This window comes from Homo sapiens, chromosome 8 (genome assembly GCF_000001405.40).
Source record: "Homo sapiens chromosome 8, GRCh38.p14 Primary Assembly".
Lineage (NCBI taxonomy): Eukaryota > Metazoa > Chordata > Mammalia > Primates > Hominidae > Homo > Homo sapiens.
The window spans coordinates 38,348,555-38,367,159 of record NC_000008.11 but is presented as its reverse complement, the minus strand read 5'-3'; the positions used below and the strand labels follow the sequence as shown (position 1 = coordinate 38,367,159).

Here is an 18,605-nt window from a genome sequence, read left to right as displayed (position 1 = left end):
GTACATCCTTCTACTCTGTGGACATTTTGCTTGTCCCTAGGTATATGAGTTTGTCTTACTCTGGCATAGAGATCTATTTGCTGAACTTCCTCTTATGTGACTTCTTTCTAGCATCACAGTAATATTAACAGATTTCTTTAAAAATTTATAATTCTTATTTAATATAAGCTTTTAAAGGATGTTTTTGTTAAGGTAAAATTTGAAAAATAATGTAGATCAGCACTGTCTAATAGAATTTTCTATGATGACAGAAATATTCTGTATCTGCACTGACCAATATGGTAACCTTAGCCACATGTTGATGTTGAATGCTTGAAATATGGCCATTGTAACTGAGGAACTAAATTTTTAATGTAATTTAATTTTAACTTGTTTAAATTTAAATAGCTACGTGTGGTTAGCCCAGAATTAGCTATTCTTAGTGAAGGGAAAGAATTAAGTAGATATAGGCTGGGCACGTTGGCTCACACCTGTAATCCCAGCACTTTGGGAGGCCGAGGTGGGCAGATCATGAGGTCAAGAGATCAAGACCATCCTGGCCAACATGGTGAAACCCCGTCTCTACTAAAAATTCAAAAATTAGCCAGGTGTGGTGGCGGGCGCCTGTAGTCCCAGCTACTCACGAGGCTGAGGCAGAGAATTGCTTGAACCCAGGAGGCAAAGGTTGCAGTGAGCTGAGATCATACCATTGCACTCCAGCCTGGCGACGACAGAGACTCTATCTCAAAAAAAAAAAAAAAAGAATTAAGTAGATGTGAACATAATTGTACATTCTTTGCCTTGTGATTACTATATTTGTGTGTTTTTGTGGGCTAGATGTTTAAAATCTCATTTTTCCAGTGTGTTTGCTACGTTAGATGGTAAATAAATTCTTCATGGCAAAGAAAGATAACTATAACTTATCAGTAATAGTTGTTTGAAAGCTGGAATATTTTAAAAGTCTTTTAATCAGTGCAATTACTAGCAGACTATAGATTGCCGACCAACAAAATGATTTAAATACAGAATGCATTGCCTTCATTTCAGCTTTTTTTTTTTTTTTTTTTTTTGAGACAGAGTCTCACACTATCACCCAGACTGGCGTGCAGAGGTGCGATCTTGGCCCACTGCAACCTTCGCCTCCCAGGTTCAAATGATTCTCATGCCTCAGCCTCCCGAGAGTTCCATTTCAGTATATTTTGGATCAGTTATGTTTACATAACATTTAAGATTTAAACTTTATACTACATGGAATACTTGAGTAAACCGTAATTTAAATCTTTTTACTATAGCCATAACTCAGAAGCCTCTGAAACAGAGTGAACGTCAAAGGAAATAAAAGTACCTGATGATCATCTTTTTCCTTGTCTTTTTCCAGCCTCTCTATATGACTGATTCCTGGTTTTGGTTTCATTAGTTTTTTAATAAGAATCTAAGCCGGGTGCGGTGGCTCACACCTGTAATGCCAGCACTTGAGGTCAGGAGTTCGAGACCAGCCTGGCCAACATGCGGAAACCCCGTCTCTACTAAAAATACAAAAATTAGCCAGGCATGATGGCGGGCACCTGTAATTGCAGCTACTCTGGTGGCTGAGGCAGGAGAATCGCTTGAACCTGGGAGGCAGAGGTTGCAGTGAGCTGAGATCGTGCTAGTGTACTCCAGCTTGGGTGACAGAGCGAGACTCCGTCTTCAAAGAAAAGAATCCAGCCCCCCGTCCCTGTATTGTATTACCCTGTTTTATAGTAGCATATCACTATCTGAAATTTCCATGTTTATTTTAGCTCCATGAGACTAGAATCTTATTTCTTTGGATTTCCCAAGATCTAGAACAGGGTCTGGTACATAGTTAGTGTTCAGTAGTGAACCACATCACAGACAAAAACAAAAATAAGACTCTACAAGGAGAAAGATATATAACATGGCACTTGGAGTCTGGGAATAGGCAAGGTGAGACTCAGCTTTTGCTTATCTTGGCAGTGTTGGTGTGGGTGATTCAAGCTGGTTAGTTTAATTTTGTATAGAAATGTTTCTCTGCGAACTCAATTAAAAACAAAACTTTTGTCCAGACATACAATATATACTAAATAAATTCTATCTGCCTCATGGAGCTGGAAAAGGGAAACAAACATGAGAAAATATTTCCGTGGTCAGTTTTTGACTAGTCAGTCTCATTTATTTGGGAAAACAGAGGTTATGGGATTTACTCAAATGCCTGTTCTTGAGTAGTGTTTTAAAATGTGAATGAAAGTCTGTTTATTTAGGAAACTTGCACATTATTTATCTTTACAAAATAAATTTCCACCTAGTGATTACTCTTTAGAAAAATTGTTGGATTAATATAATTCTTTGTGATGGCTATGAGGGGCTTTTCTTAAAACTGTGACTATTATATGTTTAAATTAACAAGACTTTAAAAAATGATTCTTACTATAGTGCTGTCTTTATTACTACAAGTTTTCTTTCTCCCTATATATTTTTATGAAAATCAGCCACAAAATTCAATGTGGCCCAGAGATTTTGGTTGTCAGAAATGGAAAATCTTAAATAGGTGTTTTAGTAGTAAAAGGACCCATAGCATTTTATTATGTCATGCATAGTAGTGGCTTGACTGCCATTTTGTTATTTGTATCAGGTCTACCCCTAGAATGAGAGTAAACTCCAGAGTATAGAAAGCTGCGGCAGCTGTGCCAATGAAATGGGAGAAATTCTTTCCATTTCTTCTGCTTATGTGAGAGATGACAGTAACACCCTACCAGCAATTAAAATCTAATGGCTTTTCCTGGTTGTCCAGGGACAAATTGTAGGTCACATCATCATGCCTGTATCTATAGATAAAACTATTTATGTTGTAATGGGGCAAGACTTCTGTTGTTGTTGTTGTTGTTGTTGTTGTTGTTGTTGTTTGAGACGGAGTCTTGCTCTGTCACCCAGGCTGGAGTGCAGTGGCACGATCTTGGCTCACTGCAACCTCCACCTCCCAGGTTCAAGCGATCGTCCCACCTCAGCCCCCTGAGTAGCTGGGACTACAGACGCGCATCACCATGCCTGGCTAATTTTTTTTTGTATTTTTAGTAGACACGGGGTTTCACCAGGTTGGCCAGGCTGACCTCGAACTCCTGACCTCAAAGTGATCCACCCACCTTGGACTCGCAAAGTGCTGGGATTACAGGCATGAGCCACCGCGCCTAGCCTAAGACTTCTTTTTTAAGTGATATTTCTATTTTGGGTACACCAAATCTTAGGTTAATGAATCTAAGGATTCCCCTCCTTCTGTTTATAGGGATGCTCCTGAAACTGAAGACAACCAAGTGAGTGGAAAGGCTTTCAGAAAAACCCTTGTTGCTGCTGTAACAAATTACAACAAACTTAATGGCTTAAAACGACACAGATTTATTCTTTTACATTTCTTGATGTCTGACATGGGACTAAAATCAAGGTGTCAGCGGCAGAGGTGCGTTCCTTCTGGAGGCTCTAGGAGAGAAACTGTTACCTTGATTTATCTAGCTGTTTCCTTCCCTTTTTTTTTTTTTTTTTTTTTTTTGAGACGGAGTCTCACTCTGTTACCCAGGCTAGAGTGCAGGTGCAATCTCAGCTCATGGCAACCTCTGCCTCTCAGGTTCAAGTGATTCTCCTGCCTCAGCCTCCAGAGTAGCTGGGACTACAGGCACGCACCACCATGCCCAGCTAGTTTTTGTATTTTTAGCAGACAAGAGTCTCACCATGTTGGCCAGGCTGCTCTCGAAGTCCTGACCTCAAGTGAGCCCCCGCCTCTGCCTCCCAAAGTGCTGGGATTACAGGCATAAGCCACCATGCCCGGCCCTCTTCCTCCATTTTCAAAGTCAGCAGTCTTCAAATCTCTCTCTGACTCTGATCCTTCCCACCAAAAGGATGATAAGGATCCTTGTGATTATGTTGGGTCCACCTGAATAGTATAGGATAATCTCTCCATTGCAGCATTGTGTTTGCTGCCATTCCTATGTTCATTTAGCAGCTTTCTTCCCTCACATACTAGGGGATGGGGATACAGCAGTGAGCAAGATGTAGAAGTACGCAGTACCTTCGTTAACACGGAAGTAGTTTTGTTTTGTTTTTCTTTCCATGACTGAAGGCACTACCACACTTTACTTTGGAAACTAAAGATAAATCTGAACTTCAGTTATCAGCGCACATTTGGCAATTCTCTGAGCACTGAAGTTACTCAAAGACACCTAAATATCTCGTGACATTCCAAAATAAATTGATTTTATGTTGAGCACAGGTTTTGTATTAGTCTATAAATGATACAAAAAAGGAAGTCTTTTTTTAGAGTTTCAGATTCTCATCATGTGTTATGTTCTACAGTGATGATGTTGTGACAGTTTCTCTTACGCTGTTCATAGTGAATGTAGGTTTTGTATACTGATACAAAAGACAGAGCTTCGTGTCATAATATCCCACTGTTTAGGAAAATATGAATCACAATATGTTGTCAATTGTTTATATATGCTTGTAGAATTATTATTAGATTCATGGTAGAGCATATTTAATGTGGTTATGTAAATGTTTAAAGTTTCTTGGAAAAAAATTCTTGACAAGTCGTGACTCTTTTGGATGATGTACTTACACTCGTATTTTGAGCACTTAATAAAATATCTAATTTTAATTTTCCAATGAAAAGATTACTTGCTAAAATTAAAAAATTACATACTAAACTTTTTAAAAAGTTTAAAAATAATTGGGGCAAATTTTTTTTCTGTTTTCCTCTGAGTGACGTTACATTTATGAGGTCTTTCTTAGGAAGGAAGAAGCAAATCTGTACTCTCAGTTCAAAATCCATGCCATTAAAAAACAGCCTGTGATATTTCAATAATACTGCTTAATGGTATTAGCACATATTAAGCTTTTTAAATTGTTAATCCAATCTTGTGCCCCCCCCCCCCCCCCCGCCTTACTGTAATACTCTATTCTGTTTTGGATTGATTTGTTTATTGATAATGTGCCAGGCACTATAGTTGGCTCTGGGAATTCAAGGATGAACTAGTTTCATGTCCTGTAACTTTCAGTCTGTCCATATTCTCTGGCATCTAAGTTGTTTTTATTTCCTGGAATTTTATAGTGTGCTTTCATTAAATACTTATAATTTGGTTTTGCAACATATGAAGAAAAGCCCTTCTAAAAATCTAGATCATTTGAAACCTGTGATATTAAGAAGCCAAGAAGGTTCTCAATGGAAGTCTTTAGGTACTGGTTTATAATAGGTCTTTGGAAAGGAGCTCCTCTCTCTTCCACTACAGGTTAGAACTTGTTTCCTAAGCCAAAAATGCCTGAGGTCCCCTGCATCCTCTCTCCCCGTCGTCACACCCCCAGCTTCTCAACCCTGGATATTTTCCTTTGTCATCCAGGACACTTGTCCCTTTCTGTCTTTTTTTTTTTTTTTTTTTTTTTTTGAGACGGAGTCTCGCTCTGTAGCCCAGGCTGGAGCGCAGTGGCGCGATCTTGGCTCACTGCAAGCTCCGCCTCCCAGGTTCACTCCATTCTCCTGCCTCAGCCTCCTGAATAGCTGGGACTACAGGCGCACGCCACCACGCCTGGCTAACTTTTTGTATTTTTAGTAGAGACGGGGTTTCACCGTGTTAGCCAGGATGGTCTCGATCTCCTGACCTCGTGATCCGCCCGCCTCGGCCTCCCAAAGTGCTGGGATTACAGGTGTGAGCCACCGCGCCCGGCCCCTTTCTGTCTTTTGTTTTTATTGTTCAAGTATCAAACATAATTTATTTCTGGCCGGGAGCAGTGCCTATAAGCCTAGCACTTTGGGAGGCCAAGGCAGGCGGCTTGCTTGAGGCCAGGAGTTGGAGACCAGTCTGGCCAACACGGTGAAACCCTGTCTGTGCTAAAAATAGCAAAATTAGGCTGGGCGTGGTGGCTCACAACTGTAATCCCAGCACTTTGGGAGGCCAAGGTGGGTGGATCACTTGAAGTCAGGAGTTTGAGACCAGCCTGGCCAACATGGTGAAACCCCGTCTCTACTAATAATACAAAAATTAGCTGGGCTTGGTGGCGCGTGCCTGTAATCCCAGCTACTCGGGAGGCGGAGGTTGCAGTGAGCCAAGATTGTGCCGCTGCACTGCAGCCTGGGTGACAGAGTGAGACTCTGTCTCAAAAAAAAAATTATTTCTCCTTCATTTATTGAAAAGAGTGGTCCTTCTTATGCTTTTGCTTCGTTATTTAATAACTAAATGTCATATAACAAGTCCTGTTCTGGAAGGGTAACTTCTGTTGATACATCTTGAGTTTATTATATATAGATGGAGCTAGACTACTTTGTTTTGGATGCATGTTGTTAGTAATTATACAAAAATGGCATAATTTGCTTCACGTCTTGGAGGAAAGTGAGTAAAATTACATGAAAATATAAAGGGAATGTATTTTTCCCAAATTTTTTTTTTAAGCAAGCAGATTTTCCAGTTTAACCCAGAAATTAGTCAGCAGCTTAGAGTTCTTTCTAAAAGGCTACCATGGAAAGTACCTTTAAGTCAAGATATACAGATAAGGTTTACTAATATAGAACATTTGTTTTACATACTAAAATGCTGTAAGCCCTTTTTGTCATTTGGAGAATTGATGTTTTATTAGTATAACTGCTGAAAAGTAGTACAGGAAAATGTTTTCCCCTAAATCATAGCCTTAAACTTTGAAAGAGTCAGCCTCAACCAGAATGGTAGTAAACCTCTTTAAATGATTCAGAGTTTGACCAGCAGTCTTTTCAAACCTCATAATTTTGACATCCTCAAGTTTTCATTAAAAAAGCTATAGGAGAACTAAAAATGTGTTAAGTGCTTATACAATTAATATATAATGGCCTTTGAATCTGAGAAGTCCAAGTATATGCATTACCATGGGAATTTAAGAAATTATTTGGACTGGCACAGTGGCTCATGGCTGTAATCCCAGCCAAAGTGGGAGGATTGCTTGAGTCCAAGAGTTCAAGACCAGCCTGGGCAACATGGCAAAACCCTGTCTCTACAACAAATTTTAAAAATTAGCCAGGCATGGTGGTGCACGCCCATAGTCCCAGCTACTTGGGAGGCTGAGGTGGGAGAATCACCTGAGCCCAGGAAGTTGAGGCTGCCATGAGCTGTGATTGCACCACTGCACTCCAGCCTCAGTGATATAGTGAGACCGTCTCAAAAAAAAAAAAAAAATTGTTTGAGAGGAAATGCCCACATTTTAGTGAGAAATAATTTGCATTTGTACTATCGTGGTTCAAACTTTTTGGATAACTGTAACTGCCAACTGTATAACACTTGGATGCCACTAAAAGCACTGTATTTTGTTTGTGGATGAAATAGTGAGATCTATTTTATAGATGGTGTTTGTTCCCTCAAAGGATAAAATAATCTAAAGACAAATAGAACAATCACTTGCATTTGTAATTTCATTTTTATTTCCTTGACAAAACATTTTCAAGCAGGATCCGTTTTGTTTGAAAGTTAACATTGAGTTGTATAGTCACTGTACCAAATTTGGTTATTGCTTTTGTCTGTAGTGAGGGCTAGATTAGATCCTATCGATTCTAGCTGCTTTCAGTGAATAAAAGACAAACATTTTTGTTCATTTCCTTTTTGGTACCATAGGGGCGTGGTCAAGTTCTTAGAACCAGGTGGTTGGTTTTTACTTTTTGTTTCCTCCAGAAGTCCACACCCACATCTCTGCTTTTTCTTGTGTATGTGTGGGGTGAGGGTGAAGTTAAAATGTGATTAGAAAGGACTCATGGCTTTCAAAGGAAGAATATTGATTTTTAGTGTAATTTGTGCCCTGTCCTTAGGGTAGAAATTGACTTTTGCTTCTGTTCATACTTCATAGCAGTTTGGTTTTGCTGATTTCTAAAGGTATGTGTTTGGGTCCTTTAAAAATATGTATGTACTACTTCAAAAAGGGATGAGGGGCTTGCAGTTTCACAATAAATAGCATTAAAAACTTACCTCCATTATTTTTAAACAATACACATTTGTTACTGTATTACTAAAAATTTTTTAATTATGAAAACCTAAATGGGCAATACCAGAATTTATAACTTATAGTCAAAGGGTTACTCTGATCATATATTTAGATTAAAATATTAGTAGAACACAGAACCAGAAAGAATGGAGTCTTTTTTAAAAACTGACATTAGAGGATTTTAGCATCTTCTATAGTTACGCATTTTTTCTTTGTAGAGTTTCTGGTTTCACCCTACCAAACCCATATACTGAAAATAATGGAGCATATTAAAAAAAAAATTAACTGTTCCTTTCCCCCCATTTACTTCTTGGTGTCAATTTGGGGAAAAATTGTAAAACGAGAATCTCCCTTGATGCTGTCACCCGGAGATCTTTATATTCTGTGATCAAATGTGAGTCACATTCAGAAGATGTTTTTAGGGGGGCTTTGCGTGTATGTACATATTAAATTGATTTCAAAGACAGGATCCAAATACAGGATCACTGAAACATTAAGTGATCATTCAGTTAGAAATTAGTATATGAATATATTTGATAGCTTTCTCTTTATACTTCACAGAATCTATGCTTAAGCTTGTCTTTATGTACTGCGTTTAAAACAAAATGACCCTCTAGTTTTTTAACATTATGTATCTTAAAAAAAATTTTTTTAAATAATGTTTTTGCTGCATAAATTGCCAAACATGCTAGGTTTTCAAGAACCAGCATAGCTGGTTCATTACTGTAGACTGTCTGCATGTACTCCATTCCTGTTACTATGGAAACACATTGAGTGTGGATTTATCATAAACCTTGAGAAATATTCCTTGCAACAGTTCATATAAAGAAACATCTGGATCCCTTGTTTATCCTGGGGTGAAGGAAGACCACCGTCTTCCTCTGTGTTGTGAAAATCATATTATATTCCACCATTTTTTTCTAGCTGTAAAAATTCTCATGTACATCTATCAAGTATACTTTGTTTTATAGTATGATTGATTATGTTTACTAGAACAACTTTGGAAAATAGATTGATTTTCATGCTGATTCAGTTAACTACAACTATGACAATTGTATTTTGAGAGCTTCTACATTCTGAATTTCAGACCTACATTAATAAGGTTTTAAATATATATATACATATGAGTTTCTTTTTTTAATATATTTTGGTCTTTGGTTGGGTTAACACTCCCTCTGGAAGTTTATTTGACTTCATTCCAGTCTCTTGGAACTTTAAACCTTCATGAAAGTTAAGTCTAGAACTAAAGAGAATCTCAGTGACATCTAAGTGAGCTAAGTTGTTAGTCTCATTTTACCAAGGATATTACCTGAGGAGACTGTAACTGCTTTTATATTCTGTTACTACCTCCATGCAAAGACCCACAGCAGCTCTGTGAAGCATTTCATTTATATAAAATAACTTCTTTAAGTTTATGTAGTTTAGTTTAAAAGATTCATTGAAGCCCCTCCTCTGAGCCTTTGAGTTAGGTTCCAAGAGCATATATGGGAATAACATTACTTCCTGCTCTTAAGAAAACTCACATAAACAGATCATTTTATGGTTAATTCTGAGAGGCACGCATAGAATATCTTAGAACACAGAGGAAAGTTACTCAGACTAACTTAGAGCTTAAGTGACTACTTCTTGGAAATGACATTCTGAGCTCAAAAGATGGTTAAGAGTCAAGCAAAAAAAATAAAAAAGGAAAAGGGTATATTATGGATAGGATATAATATTAGTAAAGGCACAGAGGAGTGAAATCATGGTGTGCAGAGAAATTTCCAGTGATTTTATATTACTAGAGTACAAAAATGACTTGAGGTTGAAGAGGTAGGTTAGCGACCTTGCTTGGAGGGCCTTATATGATCTGTCAGTCTAAGTGCTTGGCCTTTTTCTGGGCAATGGGAAACCATTGAAGGATTTTAATCAATAGAGTGTTGTGGTTTGATTTACAGATTAACCTAGGAATGTATTTGTAGAGTAGCTGTGTCTGAAAACAGAAATAGACAATTTATATGACATCTTAAAACCACTTCTAATTCCAAAATGCTTAAATAATGATATCAATGTAAGGATTTTTTTTTTTTTTTTTTTTTTTTTTTTGAGATGGTGTCTTGCTTTGTCACCCAGGCTGGAGTGCAGTGGTGTGATCTTGGCTCACTGCAACCTCCGCCTCCCAGATTCAAGCAATTCTCCTGCCTCACCTTCCCAAGTAGCTGGGATTACCGGCGTGTACCACCATGCCTGGCTAATTTTTGTATTTTTAGTAGAGACGGGGTTTCGCCATATTAGCCAGGCTGGTCTCAAACTCCTGATCTCAGTTGATCTACCCACCTCACCCTCCCAAAGTGCTGGGATTACAAGCATAAGCCACTGCTCCCAGCCTAAGGAATTTTTAAGTATAATTAAATATAAAGTTTCTATTATTGAGAAGAGACTGGCATTTTAAACATAGAAAAAAAGAATATATACAGCACAACATGTAATTCTATAGAGTAGAATCTAGCAATACATTCCACAGAAATAATTGTTTATGAATTTGTTATAGTGACTTAAACTATAAATTTAGCACATTATGAATACTTAATTGATATTTATAGGCTCAAGTTGTTCATCTGAAACACGTAACATGATTTCTTTCTTTCTCCCTCTTGCTCTTTTTTTTATTTTAGAGAAAGAGTTTTACTGTGTCACCCAGGCTGGTCTTGAATGCCTGGCCTCAAACAGGCCCTCTACTTCAGCCTCCTAAGGAGCTGGGATTGCAGGCATGAGCCACCATGCCTGGCTTGATTTCTTTTCCTGTTTTTGTTTTTTTCAACTCTGTATCTGTGATTTGGCTTAAGGATTCTATAAACTTTTCTATTATCAGCCCACCATCCCCCACCACCATGAATAAGTTGGTAAATAATAAGAGCACTAAAGCTTTGATTGATAATTTTCAACTTTTTTTTGCTTATTTAAAACTGTATAGTTTCAGCAAAATTAGAAGTATTCATTGATTGATTTATCTTTTTTAAAAAATTAGCCTAGAAACATTGTTCAGAGGATGAATTTATCAGAAATGTTTTTGTGTGGTGATTTCATTTACTTGAAAGTACATATTAGAATGGATAGATTAGTACAATTATTTAGTCTCCCACCAAATTGTTAGTTAACTCTGGGGAGTGGGAGTGGAGAAGGGTGAAGTGAGGTTCTGTTGTTGTTTACATATTTAGGGATTGTGGGAAGTAAGCTTACTTGTTAAGAGCCAATGCTGTGGAACAGAGTGTGTGTTTGAACCCTCCATTTACTTGATCTCAGACTATGGCAAGTTATTTGATCATACTGGCCTTGATTTTTCATTTGTAAAATGGGATAGTAATAGTATTTCCTCAAAGGGGTGTTCTGTGAAGTAAAATAATATAACAAATGTAAAATGTTTAGAATAGTATTGACACTAAGCTCTCAAATGTTAGCCATTAAAATTATTGCTTTAAAAATAAATTGAACACATTATCTTTATCAGGGATTTATTTAGGACAAAGGTTTAAGAATTTCTGATGGCCTGTACCAAGTAATTTGAAAAGCAATGTGTGAAGAACACCTTACTTCCACATCCTACTTGTTTCTCATGGCCTAAATGCCTCCTTGCCCAGCATTTTTCTTCTCCTTAGATGTCTGTTATAATTGTAGTAGTAACACAATTCAATTCTTAGTCATCTTCTGTTTCACATTGTTTGCTACTATTTTATGTGTCTTACTCACAAAATCTTACATTATCTTGCTAAAGAGATTGAAAGTACCTTTAGGTCAGTGATTTTTTTTTTTTTTTAACTTTTTAGCAGTTCTGTATGCCCAGCATTGCAATGAATGATAATAATAGCCAACAAGTGGCCAGGCTCTAACTGTATGCCAGGCACTGTCTTAAGTGCTGTTCATGGATTAACTCTTAATTCTTACGGCAGCCCTGTACAAGGTACACAATTGCAGGTATCCACAATTTCTGGCTAAGGAAACTGAGGATTAGAGATGCTGAATAAGTTGCCTGAAGTCACACAGCCAGCAGGACTTGAAGTATGCTTTTGAACTTAGTTTGATTCTGAACCTGCACTCTCAAGCACAGTGCTCAGTAGAGCCCCCTAATCTAGTAAGGTCTTAACCATTTTATCAGTTGGTGTGTCTGCTGCGTGAAGGCTGGCCGCCAGACTCCGCTGCCCATAAAAATCACTATGTAAAGAAATTTACATGTAGTCCCAAAATATCTGTTTTTATGAACTACCAAAACTGCTTTCTTGATTGCATTGTTGTATTATTTGGAGGCATAATATGAAGAAGTATGGCCCTCTTAATGCTTACGGTTTCTAGAAAATATAACAATGTGGCCCCTTTAGCTTGTTTGCTTAGAACATGGCACCAGAATTTAATGGAGGCTTATACCACTTTAGGTACCTGTAGCTTTTTATTTTTAGTACTTCTTCCAAACACTAGCCAAATCATTTGTTTTTTTTTTCCCCGAACTTTTCAGTTTAAAAATTTTCAAACCTTTAGAAAAGTTAAAAGAATATTACATTCAACACCTAGATTCGCCAGTTGTTAAAATTTTGTCTCATTTGCTTTACTCTAGGTATATATACCTTTTTTAAAATCCTCAACCATTTGAAAGTTGTAGATACCATGACACTTTATCACATATTTCAGCATAGCTCTCCTAAGAATGAGAACATTCTCGTATATAAACAGAATAGCATTATCAGAACCTTGAAATTAATAGCTCCATTGTTTAAAGCCAGTTCATATTTTAAAATTCTTTAGTTGTCTCCACAATATCTGTTTAATCTTTGTGTTTGTGTGTATTTAAATCCAGGATTTAATCAAAGTTCATGCATTGTATTAGGTTGATAAATCTTGTCTCTTTTAATCTAGAATAGTCTTTCCACCTTTCATTTGTTTTAGACATTAGCCTCTTTGAAGAGCCCAGGCCAGTTGTCTGGGAGAATATCCCCCATTTTGGATTTGTCTGATTATTTCCTCACTTTAGATTCGGTCTAAGCACTGGGAAGAATACTTCAAAGGAAGAAAATGCGAGATTTGCTAAATGACTGGTTTTATGGCTTAACAAAGAGGGAAGAATCAATCACCTGTGAGCCTGAGATTTCTAGTCTGGGAAGCTAGAAAAGTGGTGGAAGCAATGACAGACTGGGGTAGTCTGAAAGGGACATTGCACTAGGAAAAGGACAGTGCATTCAGTTTTGGACTAATGACCTTTAGCGTTTAGTGTAGTTGTCCTTAAGTAGTTGGTTATTCTCTGGCGGTAGGATGTTGTGAAAAAGAGCACAGGATTAGAAATCAGGAGACTGATTATTTTTCAAGCTTTATCACTAATTAGCTTTGTGGTCTTGGAAAGTCAGTATTTGAAGTGTTCTATGTGGTTACCTAAAAAATGAAGTTAATGCACACCTTGCCCTGTCAGTCTGACAGAGTTGTTTTGAGGATCAAATACAAATGTATATGAAAACACTCTGTGATACAAATGTATATGTGTTCACTCCATGGACTCCTGTGTAATTATAAGAAGGTAATGTTATTTTCTTAGTTCAGACTAAAATGAAATATTTGGAGTTAGGGCTAGAGAAGACAGGAAAAGGGGAAAATATAAAACTTTTTGTGTTTGAAACTCAATCAAAAGCATCAGAAATCTCAGTCTCTGAATACATATGCCTGAAAAACCCTGAAGACTATAATTTGGGAGGCGAATCTGGAAGCTGATCTTGTATACAACAGTTACAAGAACCAAAAACACAGGTTGCATCTTGTTAGATGTCATTATTTGACTTGCCTTCAAGTTGGAAGTATAAATGAGAACTTTTGAATTCTGCCTGTGTAGTTGGTCCATGCTTGTTAACAGAATTTTTAAACATTTCCTTCTTATGTCTGTTGCTGTGAGCTATACATTTTTGCCAAAAGTTAAATTAAGGTAATGTTTCAGTTGTTAAACATTGTCAGTAAATATGGTATGCTAATCAAGAGCACAGACCCTGGAACTGCGGTTTTTTTGCAGTGAGCCAAGATCGTGCCACTGCACTCCAGCCTGGGTGAATCTTGGGTTGAATCTTAGCCATGTGCACTTGAGCAAGTCATTTAACTTCTCTGTGCCTCTATTTCCCTATGTATAATAGGAGATAATAGCTACATGAATGTTGTTGGGAGGATTAAACGTAGTACTTATGTCAAGCACTTAGAATGGTGCCTGGCATATGCAAAGTGCTATGTAAGTGTTAATGGTGGTTATTAGAATATTTGTGATTTTGGTAGTGACGAAGGAATAAAGTACCTGAACAAAAGAATTCTTTTCCCAGAACTGATAGCTGAGGGAAACAGAAGTGATACAGTAGTAAAAATCATGGACATCAGGAGCTCGAGATCAGCCTGGGCAACATAGTGAAACTCCATCTCTATAAAAAATACAAAAAATTAGCCAGGTGTGGCGCATGCCTGTAGTCCCAGCTACTTGGGAGCCTGAGGTGAGAGAATCATCTGAACCCAGGAAGTCAAGGCTGCGGTGAGCTGTGATTGTGTGTTTCTGCACTCCAGCCTGGGCAACAGAGTGAGACCCTATCTCAAAACAAACAAACAAACAAACAAACAAAAACAACATGGACTTCAGAGTCAGACATGCCTAGATCCAAATTCAAGTTCTCCCACTTTGTGGTTTAAGCAGGCCACCTAGCCCCTCTGAAGCTCACTTTCTTTTACCTATGAACCAGAAATCACAATCCCTATCTTGCAGAGTTGTGATTATTAAATGAGCTGATGTGTAAAGTGCCTGACACTGAGGTGACACTAAGAAAATGAGAGCGCTCTGGATCCCTCCCACCCCCCACCAATGTAAAGCAATACATACAGTTCAATTTCTTGTGTGCAGTCTTATTCATTTGTTTGTAATTTTAGGACTTCCAAAATCATTTCCATTTGCTAACAGCAGAAGAAACAGTGGCTGTATAATTGGATACACCTTGAAAAGTGTATTGTCAGCTTTGTTTCCCTCTTCCATTTGCTGTTTGGGGTTATTTGTTTTATTATTACAGCAGATCCTACTGGAACCAAGATGGTAGACACTGTTAATCAGTCTATTATTAATCTATTAATAATAGGCATTGTTAATGATTCTGTTATTAACAGAGTCGAACTGGAATGTAGCCTCAGGATCCTTTTTTTTTTTTAATTATACTTTAAGTTTTAGGGTACATGTGCACAATGTGCAGGTTTGTTACGTATGTATACATGTGCCATGTTGGTGTGCTGCACCCATTAACTCTTCATTTAACATTAGGTATATCTCCTAATGCTATCCCTCCCCACTCCCCCCACCCCACAACAGGCCCCGGTGTGTGATGTTCCCCTTCCTGTGTCCATGTGTTCTCATTGTTCAATTCCCGCCTATGAGTGAGAACCTGCGGTGTTTGGTTTTTTGTCCTTGCGATAGTTTGCTGAGAATGATGGTTTCCAGCTTCGTCCATGTCCCTACAAAGGACATGAACTCATCATTTTTTATGGCTGCATAGTATTTTTTTTTTTTTTTTGAGACGGAGTCTCACTCTGTTGCCCAGGCTGGAATGCAATGGTGCGATCTCTGCTCACTGCAACCTCTGCCTCCTGGGTTCAAACAATTCTCCTGCCTCAGCCTCCCAAGTAGCTGGGATTACAGGCACTTGCCAGCATGCCCAGCTAATTTTTGTATTTTTAGCAGAGACGGGGTTTCACTGTATTGGCCAGGCTGGTCTCAAACTCCTGACCTCGTGATCCACCCACCTCGGCCTCCCAAAGTGCTGGGATTACAGATGTGAGCCACGGCGCCCGGCCTCAGGATCCTTCTTCACAGTATTCTAGGAAGCTACAATCAGTTCATCAGAGTTGATATAGCTGTGAAAACTGGTTTGTCCTTCCTGCTTTAGAACTTTCTAGAAGAGGCCAGGCATGGTGGCTCACACCTGTAATCCCAGCACTTTGGCAGGCTGAGGCGGGCGGATCACGAGGTCAGGAGATCGAGACCATCCTGGCTAACACGGTGAAACCCCGTCTCTACTAAAAAAAAAATACAAAAAAAATAGCTGGGCATGGTGGCGGGCACCTGTAGTCCCAGCTATTCGGGAGGCTGAGGCAGGAGAATGGCGTGAACCTGGGAGGCGGCGCTTGCAGTGGGCTAAGATTGCACCACTGTACTCCAACCTGGGCGACAGAGCAAGACTCCATCTCAAAAAAAAAAAAAAAAGAACTTTCTAGAAGAAATGTTTGTTGGATTATCAAAATATTATATGGATTGTCCATTAATCTTCTATTCTGTGATGTGCACGTGTCAAACCTTATGACAAGGCAGGGTGGTCTTGTAGCATTTTCTAACAGATACTTATCTATATTGTAACGTTATTACATAATGTAGGCATCTTCGGACACCTACTGGAGGAGGTGCAATAATTGAAAGATTATAATGCAATGATCTAACCAAGAATATGCATCAAAGTTACCGGGGATATAGTCTTAAAAAACTTATGCCCAGGACCCCACCCCAGATTTATTCAATTAGAATCTTCAGGAGGCAGACCCTGCCACGTACATTTTGTAAAAGTACTCCAGATGCTTCTGCTATATATACCACTTGTTAAAAATAAGTAGATACTGGCAAAAAAGTCAAACATATTTACAAGAAAAAAACAACCCCATCAAAAAGTGGGCGAAGGATATGAACAGATACGTCTCAAAAGAAGACATTTATGCAGCCAACAGACACACGAAAAAATGCTCATCTTCACTGGCCATCAGACAAATGCAAATCAAAACTACAATGAGATATCATCTCACACCAGTTAGAATGACAATCATTAAAAAGTCAGGAAACAACAGGTGCTGGAGAGGGTGTGGAGAAATAGGAACACTTTTACACTGTTGGTGGGACTGCAAACTAGTTCAACCATTGTGGAAGACAGTGTGGCGATTCCTCAGGGATCTAGAACTAGAAATACCATTTGACCCAGGCATCCCATTACTGGGTATATACCCAAAGGAATATAAATGATGCTGCTATAAAGACACACGCACACATATGTTTATCGCGGCAGTACTCACAATAGCAAAGACTTGGAACCAACCCGAATGTCCAACAATGATAGATTGGATTAAGAAAATGTGGCACATATACACCATGGAATACTATGCAGCCATAAAAAATGATAAGTTCATGTCCTTTGTAGGGACATGGATGAAGCTGGAAACCATCATTCTCAGCAAACTATTGCAAGGACAAAAAACCAAACACTGTATGTTCTCACTCATAGGTGGGAATTGAACAGTGAGAACACTTGGACACAGGAAGGGGAATGTCACACACTGGGGCCTGTTGTGGGGTGGGGAAAGGGGGGAGGGATAGCATTAGGAGATATACCTAATGTAAATGACGAGTTAATAGGTGCAGCACACCAACATGGCACATGTATGCATATGTAACAAACCTGCACATTGTGCACATGTACCCTAGAACTTAAAGTATAATAAATACATATATATATATATATATATATATATAAAGAAAGAAATTACAATAAAAAAATAAGTAGATACTGGCAACTATAGAGAAGCACACACTATTGGTATGAGAGTTCATTGACATAGTATAACCTATAGAACAATTTTACAGTATCTCAAAATTTCAAATCTGTCCTATAGAAATATATATGTGCACAAAAACAGAGTTTAGAGAATGTTTCAGGCCAGGCGTGGTGACTCATGCCTATAATCTCAGCACTTTGGGAGGCTGAAGCAGGAGGATTACTTGAGTCCAGGAGTTTGAGACCTACCTGGGCAACATAGCAAGACCCTGTCTCTATTTGAAAAAAAGAGTAAAGAAAAGAAAAGAAAAATAAGTAAAAAATAAACGAGGTTTTCTGCAGACGTATTTATTATATCAAACAATTGTGAGAAACTGATGATCAGTACATAAATGGTTAAATACAAATACCACGTTTGTTTACTATGCAACCATTTAAAGAATGAATATGTATGAAAATTGTCTATACATGCTGATGTAGAAGTATATCTAGGATATATTGTTAAGTTAAATAAGCAAGTCACAGAATAAGCCCTATTTTAAAAATTTATATGTAAAAATGTAGAGAAAGATGTGAAAGTATACCCATCAAAGTGTTTATAGTGGTTGTCTTGGCATAGAAGAGTGGGAATAATGAAGTGGGGACAGGAACAGGCCTTTTCACTTTGGTGTTTAAAATATTTGCAGGCCAGTCGTGGTGGCTGACGCCTATAATCCTAGCACTTTGGGAGGCTGAGGCAGGTGGATTGCTTGAGCCCAAGAGTTCAAGACCAGCTTGGGCAACATAGTGAAACCCTGTCTACAAAAAATACAAAAATTAGCTGGGCGTGGTGGTGCATGCCTGAGTCCCAGCTACTGGGGAGGCTGAGATGGGAGGATCACCTGAGCCTGGGAGGTTGAGGCTGTAGTGAGCCATGATTGTACCACTACATTCAAGCCTGGGTGACAGAGTGAGATTCTGTCTCAAAAAAAAAGAAAAAATGCAATAACATTTTATTATTTTTGTAATAAAAACAACCACTGGACAAAATATGAATGATTTTAAAGGAAGCTCTTATGGAAGCAGATTGATATGTGTCAGGACACTGCT

General features: G+C 38.3%; 1 protein-coding gene across 2 annotated transcripts in view, besides 1 other annotated feature; it reads left to right on the top strand.

The window, feature by feature from the left end:
- The window catches only part of NSD3 (nuclear receptor binding SET domain protein 3), a 112,568-nt gene that overhangs the window by 15,112 nt on the left and 78,851 nt on the right, over positions 1 to 18,605 (top strand). The window lies entirely within an intron of this gene.
- Positions 7,503 to 7,672: an enhancer, noted in NCBI's record as "active region_27247". NCBI's record gives its function as "activates an Ori minimal core promoter by ATAC-STARR-seq in GM12878 lymphoblastoid cells {active_cell/tissue: GM12878}" and the evidence as "EXISTENCE:reporter gene assay evidence [ECO:0000049][PMID:35858748]".